The following is a 27,403-nucleotide window of genomic DNA, read 5'->3' on the forward strand; positions in this document are numbered from 1 at the left end:
TACCTTAACGGACTATGTATCAATAAATATTGAAAATGTCCAGTCTCTTCCCCCCACCTCCATTTAAATCAAATCCAATTCTATGTGAACAGATTGTACCAATGTATAATTACAATAGCTAATGCACTGGAAAAGTAGTGTTCTTTGATAAATAATTTTTCTAAAACCTCTTAAGCATTCTGCATCCTCAACACTTCTCTCACACTCAAAAAATGCAGTAAATTATACAACCAGAAACTAGTGACCATTGCCAATTGTGTTAATGGATCTACAAACCTCATCATCAGCTCCAATAGTGACTTGTTTTTTTTTTTCTTTTTGGATTTCAAAACTCAGTCAAGTAAGAGTCAAAAAGTACCTAGGGATATTTTTTAAAGTGTTTATTCATCAAAAGTATAACCAAACCCTAATGGAAATAACAGTCTAGTCACCATTGTAATATAGTGCTAAACCTGCAGTACATATATAATCTTTAGAAATCTGCAAACTCCTTGAAATTATGTGTAAAGTTTTGTGTATACATAAATGTGTATAAGCCCCATCCCCTTTCTTCTGCTTTCTACCACTTTATAAACACTTCTAAGTACAAGCTGAATGCCTCCTCTCAATTTCTCTCCCTGACTCCTCTTCTGCCTTATTTTGATCTCCTCACTCTGTGCCTCTGTTGTAGTCAACAATCCAACTGTAACCTCATGTACAAAATGCACTAACTTAGGAGGAATGTTTAATATGAATTCTATGTAGAAAAAGCAGTGACTAATACATGTTTAAGATCAATTATGAAAATCATCAAAAAGTATAAGCTCGTTTAGAATAATATCATATTTAGCAGTAAATAAATTTCTTAATTTTAAATTATGGTTTTCCAGATATGTAGTTTCATACCACATACATTCCCTATAGAGATGCTATTTACCACTTTTACTGTAGTTCTTTAAAAGGGAGGAAAAGATAGAGGAGGGGAAAAAGTTTCCTAAAAGATTATCCATTGAGTCAATGATCTGTGGGGTTTATTATAAAGCTCCATTATTAGGGCTGAGAGCCTCAAAGGCGTTTATTATAGCACTAATTTCTTTTTGCAAGGCTTCAGCAAATGAACCGATTTATCTGGTATCTGCATGCTTAGGGCTTGATACATGCTATTTGTACATGACAGGTTTCATCTGCGTAGCACCATTGATAACATTTATCTGCACATCAAAAAAGCTCATCTCCTGATGAAAAAAAAATCCATGCATATGCTGGGATAAGAAATGTTAAAGTGGTGAGTAAAAGACCTGTGATATCTCATAAAATGGAACAAAACTACAAAAAGATCACCGATTCAGTATGAATGTGCAACAGTGCTATAGGAGCAGATATAATGTCAAACAAGGAAGAAATGGAAAGATACTTGCTTACACTGATAAAAGAGTAGGGCTTTGTTACCATCCTGTGAATTTTAACTAGAAATTGGAAAAAAAAATTACTTTCAAATAAGACAAAGTTTCATAAAGCTTTAAGAACAATGCAAAAGTAGTTCAAAATAAATCTTAAGACAGTACCCATTGTTTGTAACTGCCAGTAGAAATTAACCCCTGAAAGTTACTCTTATGGGAATAAGATGTTTAGATTGACTGTTGCTGTAGTTCAAAATTAAAAATCTTTGATAAAGCTTAAAGTCCTTATAAGAAAGTAACTTTAAAAAACACACAGAAAAAAATGTAACCAAAATGTAAACCTGCTTTCCTTTCAGAAACAATAATCAGCTTACAACATCTGTGTAAAAGATTGTGAAAGGTGGACACAGCCTACATATTTGAATAATAATGTAATAATAAAGTATTTCCAACAGATAATATATAATATATTCTTTTGAGAAAAATCAGTGTTTTTCTTTATAAAGAAGGTATACACTGAGTTAAAGAGCTTGTTCCTATAATTCATGATCTTTCAGAACATGTGGTTACGTTAGGCTTCAATCACCTCTTACTCTTACTCTTCCCAGCATTTGGTAATATAGACAGTGGAGCTAATTTTCTGTCATTCAGGAAGAACTGCTGGATCACTAAACTTGTATCATCATCATCTCTGAAACACAGTAAAAATCACTGTTAGACCCAATAGTTTATTAGATCGAACCCACCATCAACAATGTCAACTCTGCCTGGTCGTGTTAACAGGAAAATGTTTTACGAGTTCCACCACTGGGCATCAATTTAACTTCCAGCACCAGCTATGCTGTAAAACCGTGAATGTAATTTATATGGTGACCCGCGTGTGTGGGAAGCAATATCTAGGTGAAACTTCTCACAGTCTGACAAAATGCTTTGATTTGCACCATTCAGATGATTGAGCAAAAAGAGTTTAAGCAATCACCACCAATAGCCTTTATCTCCAAATTCACTAAAAATTTATTACTCTATGAGTGCAATCTATTGCTTTAGAGCCTAGATTGACAGAATAGAAATGACTGGATAAATATTACATTTTCAACTGGTACACATCTTGTCCATTAGGTTTAAATATTGGACAAGCTATGTGTTTAAGATAAATATCAGTCTTAGCTTATTCCCTCGAACAATACTTTTAGAAAGCCTACAAATGTTTCCACAGTAACATTTTTGTGCTTACATATAGCAGAGGACACATGTTCACTGCCAATTAGGAGAAAGTAAACCAAGAGACCACTGTATTCTTCTTATAACAACATACCTTTGTCTTTTACTTAGCACTTAACACAGATGACAATATTTACATATATTTTGCTGTGTACTAAACAACTGAGTAATCACTCAAGCTGGAAAGGACATAAATAGAGCTCACCCACCTATCCTAAATAACAGTTTACTATTCAGGCCTTCCTAGGAATTTTAAACTAGCATAGATTTCATACAGATGGCTTTCCAAGTAGCTACTCCTGTGCACTAACAGAAGGGTGTTTACCTGGCAACCTCTCTATCCACTTGCCTGAGATCATATACCTTTAAATATGGCAATGGATGTTTCAGATCTATATATATAGAGCAAAGCTGCGAAGATCGCTGCAACACAACTTTTAAATATCCTTTCTAGCATTATGGGAGGGATCCTATGCATATAATCTTCAATGACTTTGGGTTCCTGAGCTATTACCTTAGCGTTGACTAACCTGATTAACTCAGTACTACTTTCTAGTATTTTCTAATTTGGTTTTTTAGATACTGTAAAGTAAATAATATCATCTACAGTTTGGTGATGAAAAAATGGACTCAGAGGTTAAATAACTTGACCACTAAGTAACAGAAATGGAATTATAACCCAGGTGTATCTGACTCCAAAGCATTTTTCACTATAAACCATCTTTGTTCAAGATTTAACTGTAATAATTAAACTCTTACACTTGAAGGTTTAAAAGAGTACCTAATAGTAAAATAAGACTAAAGCACACACAGAATTATTTATAAGAGGTGTATCTTTATAATACTCTTAATCACCAACATTTATTCATTAAAGAACTATACTACTAATCAAGGGATGATCAGGTTAAGATGACTACTGGTCATTAATGTTGGCAGTTGAGTTCTTTTCCTTAAGGTTTCCAGCCTTGTTTTTATGCATTTTGTTTGCCACATCAAAAAAAATAATTGCTTTGTACAAAAAGGATATAAAACAAAAACTTACTACTTAGAAACACATCACCCATATTCCACATACAAAGCTTTTTGTTATTGCACTACTAGAAGAGACTTAAGCATTTAACTTGGAATGCCTAGCAAGATCTTTTAAGCTGTTTTTCTTATCTTGTTCTTCAAAATTCGAAACTAGAAAATCCCACTTGACTAAAAAGGCAAAAAAAGGAGGTTGTCCCTTCTAGGGTTAACAGATGCTTTTTGTAAGATTTTAGGTAAGATTAACCTTTTGCTCACAACAGGACTGGTTATTTATTTATTTATTTTTTTTACTGTCTTTAACTCAGGTAAAAATCAATATACAGCGAGACAAAGGGCTCTAGAGGGTCTGGCTACACCAGCTTTTGGTTTGGCTCCTGCACAATTCTACAACATGCTGAGGCTGGGAAGGATTAGCCTGCTTGTGTTGAGTAAACCGATGATACTCAATAAACAGTTTCTGTTGTAAACCCCTTAGGACGTGCAAAGCCACACTAGTTGGCAATAGACCAGATAAGCTGCAGAACCAGCTGTAATCTCATTTAGACCTGAGCTGATCCTCCTGTCCTTTCATTCCACAGGATCAAAGCAAACCACTGAGGAGGCAGCTGTATTATAGCAGCTCTGCTTGCTGGATGCAGCAAACATTTCATAAATTCCACTCCTTGAAGCAAGTCTCTACCTAATCTACCCAGAGCTGGGACAATCAATGAATTTCTGAATTCATTAGACCGATTATTACAGGGTAACCATTTTTTCTTTGGAGAAATATAATGATTGTATGCCAACTTTACAAAGCAGCTGTTTCTGACCATCTCTTTCTTCTGGAAGGGGCTAAATTTTCCCCCACAATATTGAATAAAAGTGGTTTAAAAGTACTTAGCTCATTATATTTAATGCATATTAACAAGTAAACAATATATGATGCTAAATTTCTCCAGCAGTAGTAGCTGACTACCACTTAAAGGCAGCCAAACTTTAACAGTGGCCCATACTTTCCATGTTCAATGACACAGTGAGGAATGCCAAACCCTACTGTAACACAGCAGCATAGATTAACTGATGCTCCGAAAAAATTTATAGAAAAAGTTGTTGTTGTTTATTAAACAATATTATTTGGCATGTATTTGTATTTTTTTATAAAACAGGATAAAATTTTCAAAGTGTTCCAAACTGACATTGTTAAGTGTTTCAAAGTCAGTCAAGCATTTCATCCCCATGCCTCCCCTTCAATAGAACTGACATCTTAGTATCTATTACTAGGAATTCCTTTCAGTAGAAACCTAAATTTCAAGTTATGAATCTTCAGAAAATTTACCATCCTCATGGTTAAGATAACATTAACTGGATGTATAATGGACACTGAAGAGGCAGGTATTAGGCATGACATCACAGATCACTCTAAACAGTGAACGTGAAAGAAATGAAACCCAAAACAAATGCATAGAGCTATAAAACATTAGCATTTTAAAAGAATCAACTAGGGCTGGCCACAGTGGCTCATGCTTGTAATCCCAACACTTTGGGAGGCCAAGGCAGGAGGATCACTTGAGCCCAGGAGTTCGAGACTAGCCTGGGCAATAAGTGAGACCCAACCTCTAAAAATATTAGGCGGGGGTAGGGGGTGGGCATGGTGGCATGCACCTGTAGTCCCAGCTACTCGGGAGCCTGAAGTGAAAGGACCACTTGAGCCAGGGAGATTTAGGCTGCAGTGAGCCATGATCGTGCCATTGCACTCCAGCCTAGGCTATGAAGTGAGACTCAGTGTCAAAAAAAAAAAAAAAAAAATCAACTATAATTATAATTTAATACTGAATGTCAATTGAGAGGAGCCTTAGAGAACATCTAGCCAGAGAGCTGGCAATTTTTTTTTTTTTTTAATATTTGTGCTTTGAGGGCCATGTACAGTGTCTTTTTTTTTTTTTTTTTTTTTTTTGAGATGGAGTCTCACTCTGCTGCCCTGGCTGGAGTGCAATGGCGCGATCACAGCTCACTGCAAGCTCCGCCTCCCAGGTTCACACCATTCTCCTGCCTTAGCCTCCGGAGTAGCTGGGACTACAGGTGTGCGCCACCATGCCCAGCTAATTTTTTGTACTTTTAGTAGAGACGGGTTTTCACCATGTTAGCCAGGATGGTCTCAATCTCCTGACCTCGTGATCTGCCCATCTCGGCCTCCCAAAGTGCTGGGATTACAGGCATGAGCCACCATACTCGGCCACGTATTTTTTTTTTTAAGAGACAGGGTTAAGCATTTAAGTCTCCCTATGTTGCCCAGACTAAGTTGCTGTGCCTACAGATGCAATGTCTAGCTCACATATTCTTCCTGTTGTTTTACAATTCTTTAAAAATGTAAAAAATATCCTAAGTTCTATGGCTACACAATAATGGGCTATGGACAAGATCTGACCAACAGTGCCTTAGTTTTCCAATCCTTTCTAGTCTAAACTACTCATTTTTCAGATGACGCGACAAACTTTCAGGGACATGAATTGTTCTGCATAACTAAGCAGCAAGTGTCAGCATCAGAATTTAGATCTCCTGAGACCCACTGTGTCTCTCTACTGTTTCCTAACATTTAACCCAACACTACTTTTCTTAGAAAATGGTGTGAAGATTCTACTATAATTCAGAAACACTTGAAAAAGCAACAATGAAAAGCACAAAACAGTTTTAAGAATGCCTGTGACACGTCAATGCAGACAGCATGCAAAAATGACCACACATTAGCTGACCCAATCATTTCCAAGCTAACAAATGCTACATTTAATAATGATTCACCTTCCCTCCAATCCCTTCTTCAGACATAAAATGGTCCCATTTAAGATAATCACCTAATAACAGCAAAAGTGAGAAATATGGAAACCGTAACTCTTCTATTTGCAAAATCCAGATCTTTGTAATAATAACTCCACAATAGGAAACTGCAAAACTGTGTAATTATACTTTAATTGTATTGTGAGGCATGCATTAATCACAAAGTTTAAGCACCAAGGATAGAATTATAATAATTCTGTAAAACAAATTCCAGCTAGCTAAGTAGGTCAGAACCACTAACATGCAACAGGAGACCTCTGGGAATTTATCAGTTAATGGCTATTTATGTGCAAATGAGTGCCCTCCAACCCTCCAAAATCCTGTGTAGCTGAAGGGTATTTCTGTTAACCAGGAGCACTGCTTAACTGCAGAGGCATAAATTAAAGCATTTTATTGAAATGATTTTTAATTTCTCTACTTTCCTTTTCCACATTCCTTCCTACCTCTTTCAAGAAGCACAATTTATAGCACACATTTAACAAGGAAAAAAAAAAAAGGCTGCTGGAGAATATTCAAAACTGATTTCTCCTGAACCTCGCATGTACACACACACACACACACACACACACACTAGACCTTCAGTAAAATTAAAGGAAAACATGTCTCACATTAAATTTAAAAACTTCAATATAAGCACTAAATTAACATGCTTTTTATAATGAACTATATAATAAAACAAAATTCTGTTTTATGTTCTTATATTCTTATCCTACAGAAAACAAAGAAATTCAATGGTGTTTGTATCTATCATAATTCTTGTCCTAACAGTCAAACAATATACCTATCAAAAGTACACTTGGAGAAGTGGGGAAAGACTTTTTTGTTAAAAAGAAAGTCTCTAAGATGTTTTTTGAAAGGGGTAAAAAGAAAGGCAGAATACAAATTTTCAATACCATCTAAACATGGCTAAAAGAGACACTAAACGCCCATCATAAGGACCATATCAAATTTACTCAGTACAAAGTTGGCATAAAACTAAGTACTGTCCAATGTTTAGATTTTAGGTAGAATAACAGTTATCTAAAATTACTGTTTTTAATGATTTAATATAGTGGCAATTTAAAAGTTTTAAGTTATGTTAACACTACCTTGGAGCTCTTTCTTTCCCATCATTAACTGAAATAAAATATAACCTAACCCTAAGTTAAAGACAAGTAAAGGCCAAATTAATCATATAATATCTTTAAAATTATAATACTTTTTAATGTAGTGAAACTTCAGCACTTTAAGCTACAGTCAAAAAACTAAAATGTTCGTGAGAATTCTCTATTTTAAATATATAGGCAATACAACTTTGTGGTAAACTCTTTCTCAAAAAGATTTTAATGTTCCACTCATTTTTCCATAATTGAGTTTTCCAGAGTTGTAAGTAAATTATAGCAGAGCAAATGATTCTATCAAGTTTGCTTCTGATTAGTTTGCTCCATATCACTCCTGGATTCAGAGGGCAATAATTGAAGGAATCAAGTGCTCCTCTGGTCAATTGTGTTTGTATATGAAATAGGGAACAGAAGTCTCTGGCCTAATGCTGTGTGTTATACTTCAATGTACAAAACATGTAAGTCATAGGAATTAAGATATATTTCTGGCCTAAAAACATAATTTCATTACAACTATTTGCTTTAAAAAAAATTATCACATAAATGTAACCATCTGTTAAAGGTCATCACCCTATTTCAAAAGGGAACTCTCAGAAGCTGTAAAGCAAGGGCTCACTTGAGGCTCTCCTCTCTCTTTGGTCAGGGGAAATACTGTGGTCACACCAGTCTTCCAGTCACAGGAAGATTCTAAGTCAGATCTCTGTGTACCAAGCACTGCACTAAGGCTTAATTAACCCTGTTCAGAAAAAATAAGACCTTCTCTTAACTGAAGAGACAACAAATACATAGTCAACTTGCTGAAGGAGTACAATTAAGAGGTATGTCTCATATTTGGACTATCCCCTCCAAAATCTCTTAACATTACACATGAAAAGAACTATACAGGCATATGGAAATCATTGAAAATTTCCAACCTCTGCATTTATATGGCTGAAACTGAAGAAAAAATGAGATGATATTAAAGTGTTTTGATATCCTTAGGGTGATAAGGTCAAGAGCACCAATGAGAGAAATCTTGGACCACAGGAACAGTGAAACATTTTATCAGTAGTTAAACATAAGTAAAAGATGTATTTAAGTATAAGAAGCTATTAGGTTTGTCTAAGTCATAATTCCTAAAATTTCCTAATTACTGAAAATGTTGGTTAAATATTATTGCCTGACTACATACAGGACCAACCTGAGTCATCAGATCATTCCTTTCCTTTATTCCCTTTATCACTCAATCCCAGTCATGACTTCAAAACTAATGTACTCTCCTACCTTTATGTATTTTTAAAAATTACTTTGGCATTTTTGTATTATTAGCCTTTATTACCACAATGATTTCCTACCTAGTTTCCTTGCTTAAAGTTTGCTTAAAGTTCTCTTTCAATTCATTGGGCATATTACTGCCAGAACCATCTATATAATCACCATTCAACAGACACGTCATGCACTTTTAGCTGGATACCTAAGTGCTGAAGTTATAATTATGAATAAGACAAATTCCCGGCCCTCAATAAGTATCAGTCTAGTGAAGGAGATATTTCAAGTGGTAAATGTTCTGGGTGATACAAATATGAACAGGGCAAACAAGAAGGACAACACTTGCCTCTTGGGGAACCTGGAAACCCTTAATAGGGGAAACTGTATATTTCACTTACACCCGAAAGGAAATAAACTTTCCAGGCAGAAAAGAAATCAAGGAGCATTTCAAGCAGACGGATTAAGGGAAAGAAACAGGTAAGGTCTTTCTGTCAAGGATCTTATGATTCAGGGAGACAGAACAGCATATGAAGGGTATAAAGAACTGCTCTCATCACACCCCTCTACTTAAAACCTATAGTCTTTGATTTCCTCCTCACCCAGGTCTACACTCTGGCCCTAACTTCAAAGTCCTTCATAATCTGGTATAACTTTCTACTGGAGCATGTATCCTCTGCATTCATCAGACTAGTTTGTATCGCTACCTAAAAAACATTTAACCCGTCCCAACTTCCAGTTCTTAAGTCACTCTCCTGTTTTAGCATTTTTTTCCTCACTTCTCTTCTTCAACAACTTAGGTAATTGCCACTCACATCCAACCTCTTTCAAGAGGCTCTCCCTACCCCTCCTCCTTCCTTATCACAGGTATAAATCCTACTTCTTGAATACCCAGTTCAAAGGCCATCTATTTCAAAATATCTTTCCTAATCCTTTCTTTCCACCCTTTTTCTTCCTTCTCCTACTGATGAATCCCCCAAATATCTTCAAGTGTTCATTACTCATTAATTTTCACTTTACACTAGTTATACACATGTACGGTTTACTAAAAAATAATTTCCCCAAGAACAGAATCTAATCCTTATTTTTGCACACAAACCAAAAAGCATTTTGCACTAATAGCACTCAAAAGCGTTACTGAATTACTACAGTATCCCACTACTACTTTTTAATATTCTGTGTGCTATCATATACTCCAACTAGAGAATATCTTGTGCTTTTCTCATATCCTATCTAGTACCGGTAAGAGAGTAAGTCCATACAAAGCACCCAAGAAATACTTGCCTGGGTACTCTTCTACCTTCACTGACCTCAAGCTATCTACAATTACAACCAATTTATTAGTAATTTTCTCTTCAAATCTCTCCTCAACCCAAAGCAAAAGATAATGAGAACTCAAACTGCTTAAGGTCTCTGACATACAAAAGGCCCTAAGCAAATATGCTGTTTAGTAATCAACTATGACATAGTTATTATGTCTCTATCGAAAAAGATTTCTTGAATAACACAGCTATCTCAGTATTTTTTGACTAAATTATTTAACTAATACATATCTAAAAATCACTCAAAGTAAATATTTGATAATATTTGTAGCACTATAAATTGATGCTTAAGAAAAGTCTTTCCTATGTCATTCTTTTTTTGTAATTTTATTTTATGCATGCTACATAAAGTGAGAAAAAGCAGCTCTATATAAGCAGAAAACTAAATAATGGTAATTTAGTAAAATTTAATTTAATCGTGCTGGCAGTGTAAATCACATTTCCATTTCCTATATCAACTTTAAAGAGAAAAGCAAATTTGCTTAAAAATGTTAAAATATTCAATATATAATTGATATAATTAGAAACACTAAAGTAATCTAATCCAATCCTTTATCCTTCAGATGAAAGAAATAAAATATGGGGACCTGCCTGAGGTCCCAGAGTTAGAGCTGAATTAGGTACAAAAGGCTCTTTCCATCACTTCATATCCAACCTTTTGCTTTTTCCTAAAAATCTTATATATCCTTAAACCAGTAGTTCTTGCTCCTAAAATAAATGTAGATACTGTATTAATGAATAACCAAGGAGATATAAAAAGTGCTTAATATGCAAGATAATAAGTGAACAGAATCAGGTATCAATTTTAACCTATCCCCTTCACTTTGAATCTTTGTATTAAACATAAAGAAAAGAACTAAAGCAGACAACAGGGTGAAGAAAGGATTCTCTAACTTCAGGGTTTCCAAAATAAATGCCATAAAAAACAGTAAGAGAAAAGATTCATTTATGTATATGAAATTTAATCTGACTCATTCTCCCACAATCATTATTCCAATGAGAATAAATACATCTGTCCAACATGTAAACAAGTTCATATATTTAAGTTATTCAAGTTCCTGGTGCCCACTAGTACATTCTAAATGACAAATTCAGAACAGCATACCAAAAGACAAGACATGACTGTATTAGTCTATATAGAAATCATGGAAAGATTGAACTGTGTTGTATTAGTCCATATAGAAATCATGGAAAGACTGAACTGTGTTGAATCTCTAAATTAGGCAAAATACACTTGCCTTCTGGGAAACAAGGGATATTTTGGTTACACGTTCTCACAAAACTTCTACTGTAATATAATTCTGAAATAGCTGGACCATTAATTCAACCTAATATATGTAATTTCTTATATTCCAGAGGCCACTTACCATCTTCCATGAGTAGTCTGCAGAATGTAAGAGATTCCATATTTTGTATCAAATTAATGGTCCAACCATTTCAGAATTTAAAAAGGAATGACCATGGAGACATAAAAACTTGGTGGCATTAAATGGCATGATAGTATAAATGCTTTCTACTATACTATAAGCTCTACAAGTGCAGGAACATTTTCATGTACACAAGAGTACTTACTAGCACAGTTCTGGGACACAGAAGCATTCAAAAAACATTTGCTGAATTACATTGGAATTCCTCTTAGGAAACCACAATTAAAAAACTGTTAGCTGTTTACTTTTGTGTGTGTGTATATAATTTTTTAAGATTATGACATTTATATATAAAAATCCCTTAAAACTTTTACACATCCAAAAAAATACATAAAATGCAAATTTCAAGTGGGGCCAATATATTTGCAACATACGTAATGTATAGAAGATTGATGTATTTAATACAATTTTGTGGCAAATTAATATTAAAAGAAAAAATAGATTACTTAATAAGAGGGTATCAGAACAATCCACATTCTGTGTTATAGGCTTTTCAAAGCAAACATATCAAAAGATTTCTTCTTCTTGACTTAATCTTTCATTTCCCTAATGTAAAATCTTCATCTTCTAGTAGTATACCTCAAAAGTGTAATGCATTAGAAAAAAAGGAAGTTGCACAGCTCTATGTAGCATCCGTGTTGTTAGCATGTACATAAACTTTTTAAAATGCACAAAGCAATACTACATTGGTTTTAGAATCTATTTTTTCATATTAAAATATTCTTCTGACATCTATTTTTCTTCTATTCCCATTCTCTGACACCTAATGTCAGAAGTAGAAAAGTAGATGTCAGAAGAAAGAAATGCGGCAAAGTGTATCAATAACACAGTGCTATAATAACAATTCACTCAAGACCTTAAATATGTGTACAAGTAGCAAAGTTAATTATTTTTATTATTAATGGAATGTGTGAAAGATGTCAGGAAAAACTTTAAAAACTTTTGAACTGCTATCTAAATAAACACAAACTTCTAAAGACTTAAAATTCCTCCCTTCTAATATTTGCCACCTATCATCTATATGACATAGTGTAGCTGACTTACTGCCACATAATCTAATCACATGCTTTATTTTATGTAGGGCAATCTCAGAGAAAATTCTGTAAGTGACATGGAAGTTTTAAGAAAAGTCTCCAACATCTGTCTATTATTCTATCCATCACAGTGTATTTCATTTATTTGTTTATATGTCTACCTCACTACACTGTGGGGCACTTAAGAGCAGCATTCTGATTTTATGCATCTCTACTTTCTCCAATACCAGCACAAAGTCTGTCATGGCAGGTACTTGATGGGCACTCAATAAGTGTACTGGCTGGAAAATACAGACATTTCTGTTTCATGCATAAGCACAAAATTAATACAGCAGAATTTTCTCCAAAGACATAAGAAAAATAAAAGGGGACAGAGATGTGACCAAGAAAGCAATTTATGTACTTAAAGCATAAATAGTATTCTTTTCATGGAATACCTATCATTGTACTGATTCAGAATGGAGCCCTAAAAAATCTTAATTTAGAATGGAAAACTCTGTCTAATAAACCATTCTCTCACTTTACTTCTCTGAAACCAACACACAGTAATGATTATAAAAGCAATCACCGCTAGGTACTCTGTTAGACATGACATATATTACCTTTTTTATTCTCCAAATCAGCTCTTCAATACGTATCATTATACACATTTTACAGGTCAGAAAGACTGAGGTTCAAAGAAGTGACAAGACTTGTTGAAGACTACAGTGAAAGAGCAGAGTCAGGATTCAAATTCACATTTGTAACATTTTGAAAAATACAGTAATTTTTTTTTACTATAAGCAAAAGACTATTCTATGTATGATTCACACATACGAAATGACTGAAGTGAAAATTTGCTCGAATGGTTTTGACAATGGATATATTAATGACCCACAAAATTGAAATACAGTGAATATCCCAGTTAGATAAGCTAAGCAAATCAAATTTTTAAGCAACTAGGATCTTGGAAACAAGAGCCAAGCCAACTAAAAACTATGTACAGTTCCTAAACATTCACTGGGTTAAATGTCGTTTGATTTATATACATGAAGTTTGAGATATTACACAGTTTTAAACAGTGCATGAGCACATTGTGTGTGTGTGTGCGTGTGTGTGTGTCTGTAGACAGAGTAACATGTCTTTGATATTTTTTTCTGTGAAGAAAATGAGGTTGCAGCCAGGCATGGTGGCTCACGCCTGTAATCCCAGCACTTTGGGAGGCCAAGGTGGGCAGATCATCTGAGGTCGGGAGTTCAAGACCAGCCTGACCAACATGGAAAAACCCCATCTCTACTAAAAATACAAAATTAGCCAGGCATGATGGCGCATGCCTGTGGTCCCAGCTACTCAGGAGGCTGAGGCAGGAGAATCACTTGAACACAGGAGGTGGAGGCTGTGGTGAGCCAAGATCACGCCATTGTACTCCAGCCTGGGCAACAAGAGCAAAACTCCACCTCAAAAAAAAAGAAAGAGGTTGTAGAAATTTCCATAGTATAATCCCACTTTTGTCCCCCCACCCTTCAAAATAAAACAGGTGGTAAAGGAGGCAGTGTAGATAAAAGGAGAAGCAATAGCAGCTGGGAAAAATATTCTCCAAAGTGTTCATAGTGGCTCCCTTTGCAGACGAAGGGTAGGGTTTAGGAAAAGAATGAGTTTCATCTTCTACTACATATAATTCTGTATTATTTACATTCTTTGCAAGATACATAAATTTGATAATATAAAAATGTAAAAGAGAGGCATTAAAAACTCTCTAGAGCCTTCAACTGCTTCAGAAATTACACTGAAAATGTTATTTGATATTTGATATTAATAGTAAGAAAAAAGGCTTAGAGAAATAGTGGGGTACCTATACTAACAAGCATAGAAAAAATACTAATACTGGAAAATAAAAGTTAATTTATTAATCCTTTTACCTATCATTTCACCACAGGCTCTAGAAGCCTCCTATCTGTTTTTCCATCTACAGAACTACAGCTTTGTTTTAAAAATCTGGAAAAAGTTAAAAAAAAATTTTCTAGTCTAAGGTTTTTCAACTAGTTAAAAATTTGCATCTGTTGGATATATGTAATTGGATCTTGAACATACGCTATGGCTCCCATTCATTTTTAAGAATTACATCTAAGGTTCTATTTTTTAAATCAAATCATTAAAAAAAATACCTTCTACACATAATCAAACAAGTCTATGAAGATCAAAGCCTCATTTACACTGCTGTGAATGGTACCCTTGAGGTTATGCAGCACACAATTTGTACAATACCCAAGAGCCCTGCCAAGACACACAGGAGCACATTCCCCACAGCCTTGTATCTAATGGTGAAAAATTCAAAATAGCAGAAGTTTTCACAAATAAGAAATAGTTAATCCACACCATGGAATATTATGGTATATCTACACAATGAACACCAATAATAATGTAGATGTCATCAATATGGAAAGTTGTTGATGATATAGTAAGCGAAGAAGCCAGCCCACTAAACAGCATTTAATCTTATTTTTGGTTTTAAAAAAGTATATGAATAGTAATGTGTAGAAGAATACAACAAAATATCAATAGTAGTTCTCTCAGCATGGTGAGTTAAATAACTTTTTAAAAAATCCATCTACATTTTCTAAGTTTAACACCAGAAATATATATAATAGCAGCCTAATATTGATTTCTTAAAAAATTACAGCTGTAGGAGTAAAATGAAACAAAGAGATCTTATATCATAAGATTTTACTATTTTTTTTGTTTTTTTTTTTTTTTCAAATCATTTGACTTATAGGAGAAACATTTTTCTTCCATCCCACCTCCTCCTTAAGAGAGAGATTTATGCAGCATAAGCCACATAATCGGGGCATTTTTTACTTTATATTTTTATCAGCTGCCTTTCAAACTGTGCTAACACTGTGGTTTCTGGATTTTAAAGATTAGTTGTTTGCACAGTCCTGTTACTGATGATGAAAAAAATACGTAATTAAGAGATCAACCAACCCAGTTGAGGCCCCCTGAAAGAATACTATTCCAGGAAGGGTGTACAAGGTTTCTTGCCCTGGGAGTTTCACTTCATAAATGGATTAATCCTTGGTTCACTAGAAAATTCTAGAACAATCAACTTCCCAATTTCTGATTTTTTTCACAATTAATCATGTTTTAAATATATATATATATATATATATATTTTTTTTTTGCATTGTTTCACTAGCGGCTGTTCACCACCAAAGAGCTCAAGATTCCTTGAAACCAACAAGGAGGATTTTTTCTTTATAATATTTTACTAGTTTCCAGGAAAACTGCCAGTAGGAGGCAGCAATGACTGGCTGTGGCAACAGCAGCGGCTCTGCTCTGCACAGTAGTTAGCTGCTGACTTCATTCTTCTGTCATTATATAAGCAAGATGACACTGTTCTCTAATCCAGCCAAAGCTGATAAGTACCATCAACCTGTCACTTCCTACATTTCAAATTCTAACATCACAGCATCAAAGAGTTTTTACATTTCGATTTCTTTTGCTGGCAGCAGCCGGTAGCCTCTCATTCTCCCACAGTGTTCTAATGCTGCATTTGCACACCGGGGTTACTCCCAGACTGAATAGCAGGTCATCCCCTGCTCACTGAGCTCATCTGTGGCCCATGTGCTAGGCAATTTAGATCCAATCAGCCCTTATTTAGCTCAAGAGTAATGAGCAGCATAGTGACACAGACTTAAGCCTGACCCTCAGGACACTGCTCATCAAGCAGTAAAACTGTGACAAAATCATTCATCTTCCACCCGCTGGCAAGAAATAATACTCGCACTCACTGTATTACTTTTCAAGATAAAAAAAAAAGTCCTGAATTTTCATGATGTGAGACATTAATTTGCAGAAAGCTGAATTCCCTTAAACCCCCCTGTTGCTATGAGCTCACCAGGGGGAAATAGGCCTTAGGAGACTGAAATGGAATAAAGAAAATTGCTCCAGCTTTCTTTTCATTTTAAATAAGCCTTAAATCTGACAAGAGATACCCTAAAGAGAGAAAAATATATATCTTGTAAGGTAAAGAAGAAACAATTGAAATTAAGAGTTTCAAATGCTAGTTTCACTCCTTGTTTGTCCTCAATTTCTTTAAAATATAAATAAAATTTCAAACAGCAGTTACTCACCTTTTTCCACAAGGCGGATGAAGAAAGCTAAGAACTGCTTCCCATAAACAATATGGTGGCAACAGTAAATTCATATCATTAAACATGTACTCTGATGTTTTCTACAAAACACATCTTAAAGAAAATAGCTTTAGGGTAACAGTAAGATGGTGAGAATAGCTAGAAGTATTTTAAAACTATAATGAATCTATTTTCTCCACAATTTATAGTGCCTTCTGAGGTTTTATTAATCCAAAAGTAATTAATTACAGGAATAATTAAGATTGGTTTCCTTCCCTCACTGTCATATTACATCATTAAAAAAAAAAGTCTGGTAGCTTATTCTAGTGCATTTATTGAATGTAAATGCTGAAATTTTACTTGCTTCCCAAGTACTTCCCTTTTATAACCAAAAGCCACAATGCCAGTTTATCATACTGAGTTTTTTTAAACTAGGTCAATGTACCAAAGTCACAATTTTAGGTGTTTTTAACCTATTCCATAGTCAGAGAAGAGTTAACTTTAACCAATCTGTCACGAATGGGATTTACCAGTCTTCAATATACTTACTATGACAGCCTGTCTTTGGTTTAAGAAACAGCACCGTGTGGTGCCATGAAAGAGCACAGTAGTGATGTCTTCCTACAAACTCATTGCTGAATTTCATCTAAAGCTTCAAAGATCTGGGTGGTCTAAACACCTATAGTGAACCACAGGGTTCAGACTAGGAATCACAGTGACATAAATAAGATTGGGAAAAGTAGCTTTTGCCTCATCCCATCATCTTTTGATTTATTGCCATTTGCTAAAGAGAAATATTCCAGTGGCTGGTAAAGAAAAATAATCATGGCACTTCTATTCCCTAAACAACTGAATTGATCCACTTTCAAAGGAATGAAATGCTTTCTTTACAGAGTATATTTATTTTTTCCTTCTCCTTTTATCCAATGTTCTTCACTCTAGTTTCTGTTTTACAGTGTTCTTTCTCCACCCTTATGTTTTCTCTTTTTCCTCTGTAATTATGAGAAGACAATTTTCTGGGTTTCATCCTAGAAAAATCATATTACTGGTAACTTCAAATTTTGGTAATAACTATAAATCAGAAATCATAAAGCTCTATTCTATTCTATGCTTCTTGAAAGTAGGAGTAATCTTGTAAAAAATCTAATATATTTTTATTTTTAATTCATTATTTATTTATTTTTTTGAGGCGGAGTTTCACTCTTGTTGCTCAGGCTGGAGTGCAATGGCGCATTCTCGGCTCACTGAAGTCTCCACCTCCCAGGTTCAAGCGATTCTCCTGCCTCAGCCTCCTCAGCCCTTGAGTAGCTGGGATTACAGGTGCCCACCACCACGCCCAGCTAATTTTTTGTATTTTTAGTAGAGGTGGGGTTTCGCCGTGTCGGCCAGGCTGGTCTCAAACTCCTGACCTCAGGTGATCTGCCTGCCTCAGACTCCCAAAGTGCTAGGATTACAGGTGTGAGCCACTGCACCCAGCCAAATAAAATCTAATTATAAAGCTTCATTCACCTCCCACGTTAATTATATAATTATTAGGAACTGGGGTTAAATATCAGCTCTGACCTAGATTACAACTACAGATTATAATCAGGGGCATAGCAAATAAAAAACCAGAAGACTAACAAGGGTGAGGAACGTTTGTGAAAGCTTTGATATCTTTTCTTTGTAGCTAGTATTTTGAATTTCTCACAGATGGACCCTGCTGTGATTCTATTTTCTTATGTTGTGCTGGAGTCACTCAATAGGCCCTTTCATTACAGAATCTTCGGTTCTGAGAAATTTTCTTAAATTGTTTTATTGATTATTTCCTTCATTCCATTTTCTAAGTTCCCTCTTCCAAATGCCTTCCTTCCACTCTAATCCCAATACAGACAATCTGCACTTGTAGATTCAAAGTGTTCCTGCAGACCCAGCCTTGAGAGACTGGTTCCGAAATGTCTCAAAAGGAAGGTAAAGGCTCAAAGGACCCACTTGCTGCACCTGTTTCCATAGTTCAGTGGAAAAAATTCAATGATAACTAGTGAATTAGAAAGATAAAATAATAATAGTCATCCAGAAAATACTAAGGAAAACACACTGAATTTTTCAATAACACCGAAAACCTTTCAACTGGGAAGAACAAACCTCCTATCATCCTCTAGAGGTCCCTTCTACCCATGGGTACTTAGAAGACAATAAACACAGAGATGAAATTCAGATTATGCATTAAATCCATATCCTGACTGCATGGATACTGTTGTCTGCTTGCATATGGACACTGGCAAGAATTGTTGGATAAGCATATAAAATTTCAGGACAAGTATAAACCATTAGCAAGTAGTATGAAATGGTGAAAAAGTGATGGTTTAAATAAATACAAGTTTCTTTGTCCTTCCTCTCTACCATCTTAGTCTTTCATGTAAAAAATACATGAGTGCATACTACATATGCTTCATGTGACTGGTTCACTGATATATCCTAAGTGCCTACTATCATAGTAGGCATTCAAAAATACTAGTTAAATTTGTTGAATAAATTGTTTTTCATGAATATGTCTCCCCTTTAGAAAATAATTACAACACAAGGTAAAAAACAATAAAGGACATTAGAGATTTAGTAACTATTCAGGAAATTCAACAGGAATAGAGATTATTCAAGACTGGTGTATTAGTCGGTTCTCACACTGCCATAAACACCCTAGACTGGGTAATTTATAAAGAAAAGAGGTTTAATTGACTCATAGTTCCCCATGGCCAGAGAGGCCTCAGGGAACCCAAAATCATGGAGGAAGGTGAAGGGGAAGCAAGGACCCCTGAATTGAATTTTTTATTTTATATTCACTAATTTAAACTGTCACACATAGCTAGTGCTACCCTACTGGACAGCAGAAATCTTCACATGACAGCAGGAGGAAGAGCTGCTAGCAGGGAAAATGCCAGATGCTTATAAAACCATCAGATCTCGTGAGAACTCACTCAATACTACAAGAACAGCATGTGGGAACCACCCCCATGATCCAATCACCTCTGTCCATTGACACATGGAGGATTATAGGTCTCTCCCTCGACACGTGGGGATTACAATTTGAGATAAGATTTGAGTGGGGACACAGAGCCAAACCATATCAACTGGTAACACACGGATAAGCATACATTTCTCTTGAAATGTACAAGCATGCATTTCAAGAGAAGCTTGACATGAAGCTTCTTGACATGAATATTATTCACAAAAAAATGAAGAAAAGATAAATGAAGAAAACCAACATGTATTGAATGTACTGAAAGCTTATTATGATTCATGTTCTGGACAGGTGCAGCATCAAAGTCAGTGCTATCCCTTGGCAAGTCTTTCTGCTGCTATCCACTACATTATCCACTAACTAAATATAGCTATTGAGGACTTAATATATAGCTGGTGTTACAGAACAGTTGAATTTTTTATTTTATATTCACTAATTTAAACTGTCACACATAGCTAGTGCTACCCTACTGGACAGCAGAAATCTAAGCAGATGTTCATGGAAATCCTATGAGGTGGATATTATTTTACAAAGATGCAGCTGAAACTTAGAAAAGATTAAGTAACTTCCTAAGATTGCACTGTTGGTAAATGAAAGAGGGTGATCTGAACTCAGGTTTACTGACCTTAAAGCTCCTGCTTTTTAATACAATGTTTTGACAGCAGCAACTATCAGGCACTACTAGAGGTTCCTTAAGAAGCAAAGGCAAAAAGCAAAACTTGCTGTGTGCATAAGTCTCCTGCCTGGAATACTGGCTCCTCCCATATATGATGCTCTTTAATTCCATCTCTACCTCTCATCAACATACTACTAACTTCTGAAAACACTTTCCATTCTCCTCAAATACCTCTAGTTTTTTCTTTTTCTATACTCTGCCATCTCACCCCTATGTCTACTATTACCAACACTGACCACTTCTGACTCTTGATTTTGACAATTACTTCCATTCCCCCAACTTAACCTTTTTCTAAGCAGTGACTCTCACATGACATGCTTATTCAGTCCTCAGCTTCAGCTCTGCTATACTGGTCATGTTCTGGCCTGAACCCTCAATTGGTTTTGACAAGAGGTCAAACTTGTCAACTTTGACCCTCAACTTCGTTGGACAAGAAGATATAAATAAAGGTAGAAAGACTTGGGGATTTCTTGAGAACTAGTAGCTCCATCTGACTAAAGGAGAATCACAAGAAAAAGTTACAGATTAAGGTAAAAGAAGACTGTGGATGGCTTTAAAGACCATGATAAGAAATGTGAAATTTTCTACTGTGTCTATTAGAGTGTCACTAAAAGTTTCTTTTTAATGTAATGAAATGTTCTAAAATAGTGGTGATGGGTACAAAACAACTATGAATATACTAAAAACCAATAAATTGTATGGTGTGTGAATTATATCTGAATAAAGCTAGCAAACTCTATGATATGTGAATTATATGTCAATAAAGCCATTAAAAAAGATAATCTGAGGAAGGAAGGCATTGGAGGCAGGGTGATTAGGCAAGTAGTATTAATGTTTTAAAAACAGAGGTAATGACATCTGTGAGAATAAAAGAAAGAAGATAAAAGGAATTCACCAAAGAAGACACACGCTCCCCACCTTACCAAAAGAATCAGCTGATTATAAAAAGAAAGGGTATACATATATGTCACATTTGTACCTTTAAAAATTACTTTTTCTACAGCAGCACTCAGTAACATAGCATTACAATTTCCAATGGGTCCACTGCAGTGAGGCAATGTTGTTTCCTACAATTCTTTGTTTTTAAAGAAAACGATTCATTACACACTAAAACAACAACAACAACAACAAAACTTGCTCAATGGTCACTATGCTAGAAGTATTATATTAAGAATGGGTAAAAAAACCATCCAAGATAAGACCCCTGACACACACACACACACACACACACACACACACACACACACACACACGTCCATTGATGTTGCCAGGCATAAAGCATAACGAAGAAATGATTATGAGTTCTTTTGAAAACAATACTTATGATGATAGCATTATCTAACATTCATTGAACACTTACTGATATGCCAGGCAATTTGCTAACTGCCTTATATTCATTATTGCATATAATTCCCAAAACATTCTAGTGAGGTAGGTGGTATTATCCTCATTTTACAAATAAGTAAGTCAAGATTTTGGCACATAAGTTTTTCCTCACATTATTTTAAATGAATCGCTTTATACTTATTTAAGGAAAACTCGTATCTATGTACCGGATTTAGATAGGGACTGAAAAAGTGACCCAAATACTAATTCCTATGCGTGAAAAACTGAGGAGATAATCTATGTTTCAGCAAAACACAAAAAAGTGGAACTCTGCAAAGCTAATATATTGAGTAGTTTATATTACTGCATGGGATTATAAAATATGTAATAGAAATACATTATGCCAAATTCAAGCCTGATAAAGAGTAAATAAGGTGAAAATACTAATTTATAGTATATATCTAAATACTCAGCTGAAAGATATAAAAAATATTTAACTAGGAAAAAAAGTTTTTCTTTACATATTTTATACATTCCTGAAATACTAAGATTTATACTGTATTCCCTTAGAGATACCCATGCTTTCTCTGAAGGAACGAAAAAAGGCAATGGATTACTCCTTGTAAGCAACAATATCTCTACTTGGTTTTTCAAATAAAAACTGGTAATAGATTTTATTACCATGAGGGCATACACATGTGTTTCCCAAAAATTATTAGAACACTGCCTCAAAATTTCCATAAAATTATATATAATGAAAGAGCAGACATTTTGAGCAAACTACAGAAATAACTCATTTGATTAAAAATTCTATCCAGTTTCAAATTTGTTTGTTGTAAACTGTCAATAATTAAAAGCTGTAACCCATTCATACTAATAGAACACCCAATAACAAAAGGAAGAAAAAGCTTGCATGCTGTCAAAAGTATCATTTCTATTTTTCCTGAAATATTATATAAATTATTTGGCATACAGCAGCCCCTCAAGTGAACAGTTCCTCTTGTACCTCCTTTTTTGCCTAGGCAATCCCCAGTTCTCTTACAGAAGCAAAGAAAAACCAAAAATCTTTGGGGAGAATAAATAATACCATACCAATAAAACTACTGAGCATAAAAATATTTGAAGAGAATAATAAACAGTTTTTCTCTACATGCTCATACACAAACACTTCAAATGTCAAAACAGTTATAAAACAAGCAGATGATCTTCTAGCCTTATAGGGAGAGAAAAAAAGGAATTTAAATATATATATATTTTCAAAATGTATTTTGAAGCCAGGGAAAATAACCTTAATCTTTGAAGAAGTTGTAGTTCAGCACACAGCATCTCAAAAAGGTAATTATCGCTTCTGAACTATTTCTTAGTCTCAGTATTTAGCATTTTAGGCAAGTTCTCAACTGCCTTTAGACATCTTTGAAACTAGTCTCTTGTTTAATACAAAATAGGATGTCAGTTGATCAATATCTATTTGGCTTAAATTCATAAGTCCACAACCTCCCTTAAGTGGTAGAACAAACAGGTACAAATCCTGAAAATTTATTGTTTCTTTTTAAACTCCAAATGGTATTTTCAGATGCCAAAAGGCATTTTGAAATCACTCACCCTTACTTCAGTAAAAATGAAAAAGGGGGATGGGGAGGGAGGGAGAATCTCATGAGGCCTTGTATGTCAAGTTTTTGCCCAGAGCTAATTTTCATAGCTGTGTTATAAAACCCCGAAAATGGAGGTTTATAATGGAAATGCTGACAGACCCTCAACTATAGCAGCATGAATGGATATAATTAAAGGAAAGCTTTTGGCTACACCTAACTCCACAAATGAAAGACTGCCATTTTTATATTAACCTCAAATAACAGCAAGTGAGAACTTAAAATGTGATTCCAGAGAGGTAATGTGAAATGTTAAAGATGACTGCTAAAACTATTTGACATTCGAAGTTTTAAACATAGGCATTTAGTTAACATAACCAAGTCAGTATTTTCACAATGCTACTTAATCAGCAATAAAGAATGCTCTGGTGAGCCATCAGCTCCAGTTAGCAGAAAGAAGCATATGAAGTTATTATTCCTAAACAGCCTAGAGGGAACTGCTTTTCTCTTTAATCAGTGATCATAGATCCTTCCTACCTATAATTTCTCTGTCATACAGTTGTAAAACTATTACCCAGTTCAACACACACACGCACACACTTTATACACACATTTTTGCAAGGACTGGTACCTATTCCCACCTGAATTTGAAAACAGAAGAGATGGCTAAGGTTTAAGTATTTCATTATTTCCCTTGTCAGAGATGCAGCCAGGAATAAATATCATCAATCTATATAATCCATCTTCCTTACCTAAACCCAAATTCAAATAACTTAGCTCTGCTCTTAACTAAAGGGGGCGGCGAGCTTATGCTTTAATTTTTAACAACTATCCAAAATGTTTTTGACCCGATAGTATTAACAGTATATGGCATATCTAAAAAACTACTATCAAAAAATCTTGAATGAAGTTCCAGATTTGGGGTTAAGAAATTAGGAATACATCTCCATAACTGAATACCTAAATAACTTTTTCTTGTTTCCTGTCCAACTCTTCTTCCCTTCTTTCTTTATTTTTAAGGTAAACAATCCTGAATGATCTCTTGGGCCCATCTCCAATAAATCCCAAACTAAAGGCTGGACTGCCTTGATAATATTTGCCTTGGAAATGCTAAAAACTGATGGGATAAAATGAACCTATCCAAGTCATAGTTCCTTTTATTACATACAGTAATCTGTTTGCAAATTACTAAAGTATGTTAGTACCTAAAATACAACAGCATTAATAAAGACTTGCATATTGCTGCACTATTTTTATTCATACATTGACCTTATACTTGTATCTGTTAAAACTGCTGATTTGGGCAATATAAGCTGAACATGATTTGATGGGTTTTTTATGGCAATTGTTTTCAATCATAGTTGACAGCATAAGACAAAACCAAAACAGACATTTGTGAAAGGAATCAAATGTTATCAACATAAACATCTGATCCTTTTTGCACAGGCTAATCCTGAAGGCCAATAGCACAACCCCCTATCACCTACTCACACTCCAGAGGACAGCAAACTACAAATTGAATCCAGGTGCAGTTACAAGAAACTCTTCCTATCAATGTAAACTTAACTTCACTTTATATAATTGTCATTCTTCATCATCCTTTTTTGATTTCTACCTCTGTACTTCTGAATAGTGTCCCACAGACTAACAGATACATCATAACTCACAATATATTTGCAAGAAATATTTTTCTAACACTCCTGAAATAACTTTGGCTTTAATGCTAAAGGATTTCTACTAAATTGAATTTAAGGAGCAAAAATTTGTTTTTATTGCAAGAAGTGAAATTTAGAGGGTTGGAATAGTACTAAAAAAATCAAAGACAAATTATTATAAATAAAATGTGATATACTTGTCTCCACACCTCTCAAATCATTTTTTCCAACTGACTCATTTAAAAAAAAAAAAAACTTACAAAATAAAAAGAAAGTAATCAAAAGTCCCCAATAAGCAACTACCCCTTTTTTTGTAGCAAAAACAAAATGTAAAAGCACTCAGAATTATACAAATAGTGGTAATAATTTCAGGTTTGCAAATAAGTTTGCAGATTTCATTCATTCATCTCTAATTTTTTTTTTTTTAATGTAGTGGTATGGTTAGTTTTGGTTTAGTTATCTGTAAACTTATAAAGACTGTATAAGCCATTCAGGTGATGGTTACACTAAAAGCCCAAATTTTACCACTACACAATATATGCATGTAACAAAACTGCACTTGTAACCTCTATACCTGTAAAAATAAAAAGAAAAGAAAATTAAGTAAGTTAATTAAAAATATAGTGTAAGAAGGCAGCTGTGGTATAGTTGGTTAAGAGTCTGAGTGCCAGTTCTGAAATTTAAATGTGTTATTTTAGATGAGCCACAAAAAAGTCTCTGTTTCCATTTTTTTCACCTATAAATAGGGATGGCAGGATTAGTAAAGAATAAAGAAGACAGTATTTATAAGCATTAACTCTTTCAAGAATGTAAGAATTATTCTTGTGTTTCTAGTTACTATTTTTAAAGAATTACATACCAAGAAAAGTTCCAGTTAGGAGATTCAAGATAAGATGAAGTTGGTGAATGAATGTGAAATAGAGAAAAGAGTTCCTCTCTTTTTTGCTTTCTTTGTATTTTTAATGTCTATCCAGCCTTCAAATTAAGTCTAATACGCCTATTACCAAGCTTCAACTGACATTGTTAACAAACTTCTGTGTTTCATTTCTTACCTTTTTTTTTTTCTTTTTGAGACGGAGTCGTGCAGTGGCGTGATCTCGGCTTACTGCAACCACCACCTCCCGGGTTCAAGCAATTGTCCTACCTCAGCCTCCTGAGTATCTGGGATTACAGGCACACACCACCATGCCCATAACTTTTGTATTTTTAGTAGTGACGGCGTTTCACCATGTTGGCCAGGCTGGTCTCGAAGTTTTTTTTTTTTTCTTTTGAGACCCAGTCTCGCTCTGTCACACAGGCTGGAGTGCAGTGGCACGATCTCGGCTCACTGCAAGCTCCGCCTCCCGGGTTCAGGCCATTCTCCTGACTCAGCCTCTCGAGTAGCTGGGACTACAGGCACCCGCCACCACGCCCGATTAATTTTTTGTATTTGTAGTAGAGACGGGGTTTCACCCTGTTAGCCAGGATGGTCTCATCTCCTGACCTCGTGATCCGCCCACCTCGGCCTCCCAAAGTGCTGGGATTATAGGCATAAGCCACCACGCCCAGCCTTATTTCTTATCTTAGAATGCTTTTCTAAATACACTCCATACAATGATCTAAAAATGAGAATGGAAGCTTTTTCATACATTATCAGTGAGAGTAAAAACTGGTACAATGGGTTTTTTTGGTATGAAATTTGGTAACATCTATTCACATTTAAAATGCACATACACCAATTCATTCTTAAGAATTAATCTATAGGTATACTTCCACAAGTACACAGAAATACATTTACAAAGATGTTAAATAAACGTAAACTGGTAAACAATACACATTTCCATTATTAGCAACTGGATAAAGTTTGGCACATCTATATAATGAGACAGTAAATAGTCATTTAACAGAATTAGGTAGGTTTTCATGTTTTAACATGAAAAGCTGTTCAGGAAATATTAAATAAAACAAGGAATTTGCAAAACAAAGATCATCTATTTTGTGTTTTAAATATACGGCTGGGCACAGTGGCTCATGCCTGTAATCCCAGCATTTTGGGAGGCCGAGGCGGGTGGATCACCTGAGGTCAGGAATTCGAGACCAGCCTGGCCAACATGGTGAAATCCTGCTTCTATTAAAACATAAAAATTAGCTGTGCGTGGTAGTGTGTGCCTGTAATCCCAGCTACTCAGGATGCTGAGGCAGGAGAATTGCTTGAGCCCAGGAGGCGGAGGTTGCAGTGAGCCGAGATGGCGCCACTGCACTCCAGCTCGGGTGCACAGAGTGAAACTCCGTCTCAAAATATATATGTATATATTCTATATACACATATGTGTATATCCTATACATTCTTTATACATTCTTTATACATATATGTATATATATAAAAATACATATATAGTGTGTGTATATATATGTATGTAGGTAGGAAGGAGATATCTGGAAGGTTCTATAGAAACAATTTTATTTCTATGGATTAGAACTAGAGCAATGTATCTCAACC

The 27,403-nt window shown here is 34.9% G+C and overlaps 1 protein-coding gene across 24 annotated transcripts in view, besides 1 other annotated feature; it reads right to left on the reverse strand.

Moving 5' to 3' along the window:
- MMS22L (MMS22 like, DNA repair protein) overlaps positions 1-27,403 on the reverse strand; it is a 141,875-nt gene that overhangs the window by 57,236 nt on the left and 57,236 nt on the right. The window contains exon 15 of one of the 24 annotated variants that reach the window (XM_047418581.1): positions 366-2,070. The exons of the other annotated variants lie outside the window; for them this stretch is intronic. Coding sequence (XP_047274537.1) covers positions 1,962-2,070 — 109 coding nt within the window. The 3' untranslated portion in view covers positions 366-1,961. Of the gene's footprint in view, positions 1-365; positions 2,071-27,403 lie in introns of those variants that run through there. 24 annotated transcript variants of the gene reach the window in all.
- Positions 3,604-3,804: a silencer, noted in NCBI's record as "peak5971 fragment used in MPRA reporter construct". NCBI's record gives its function as "represses an SCP1 promoter by STARR-seq MPRAs in K562 erythroleukemia cells {active_cell/tissue: K562}" and the evidence as "EXISTENCE:reporter gene assay evidence [ECO:0000049][PMID:32103011]".

The sequence above is a fragment of the Homo sapiens genome, chromosome 6, assembly GCF_000001405.40.
Source record: "Homo sapiens chromosome 6, GRCh38.p14 Primary Assembly".
Lineage (NCBI taxonomy): Eukaryota > Metazoa > Chordata > Mammalia > Primates > Hominidae > Homo > Homo sapiens.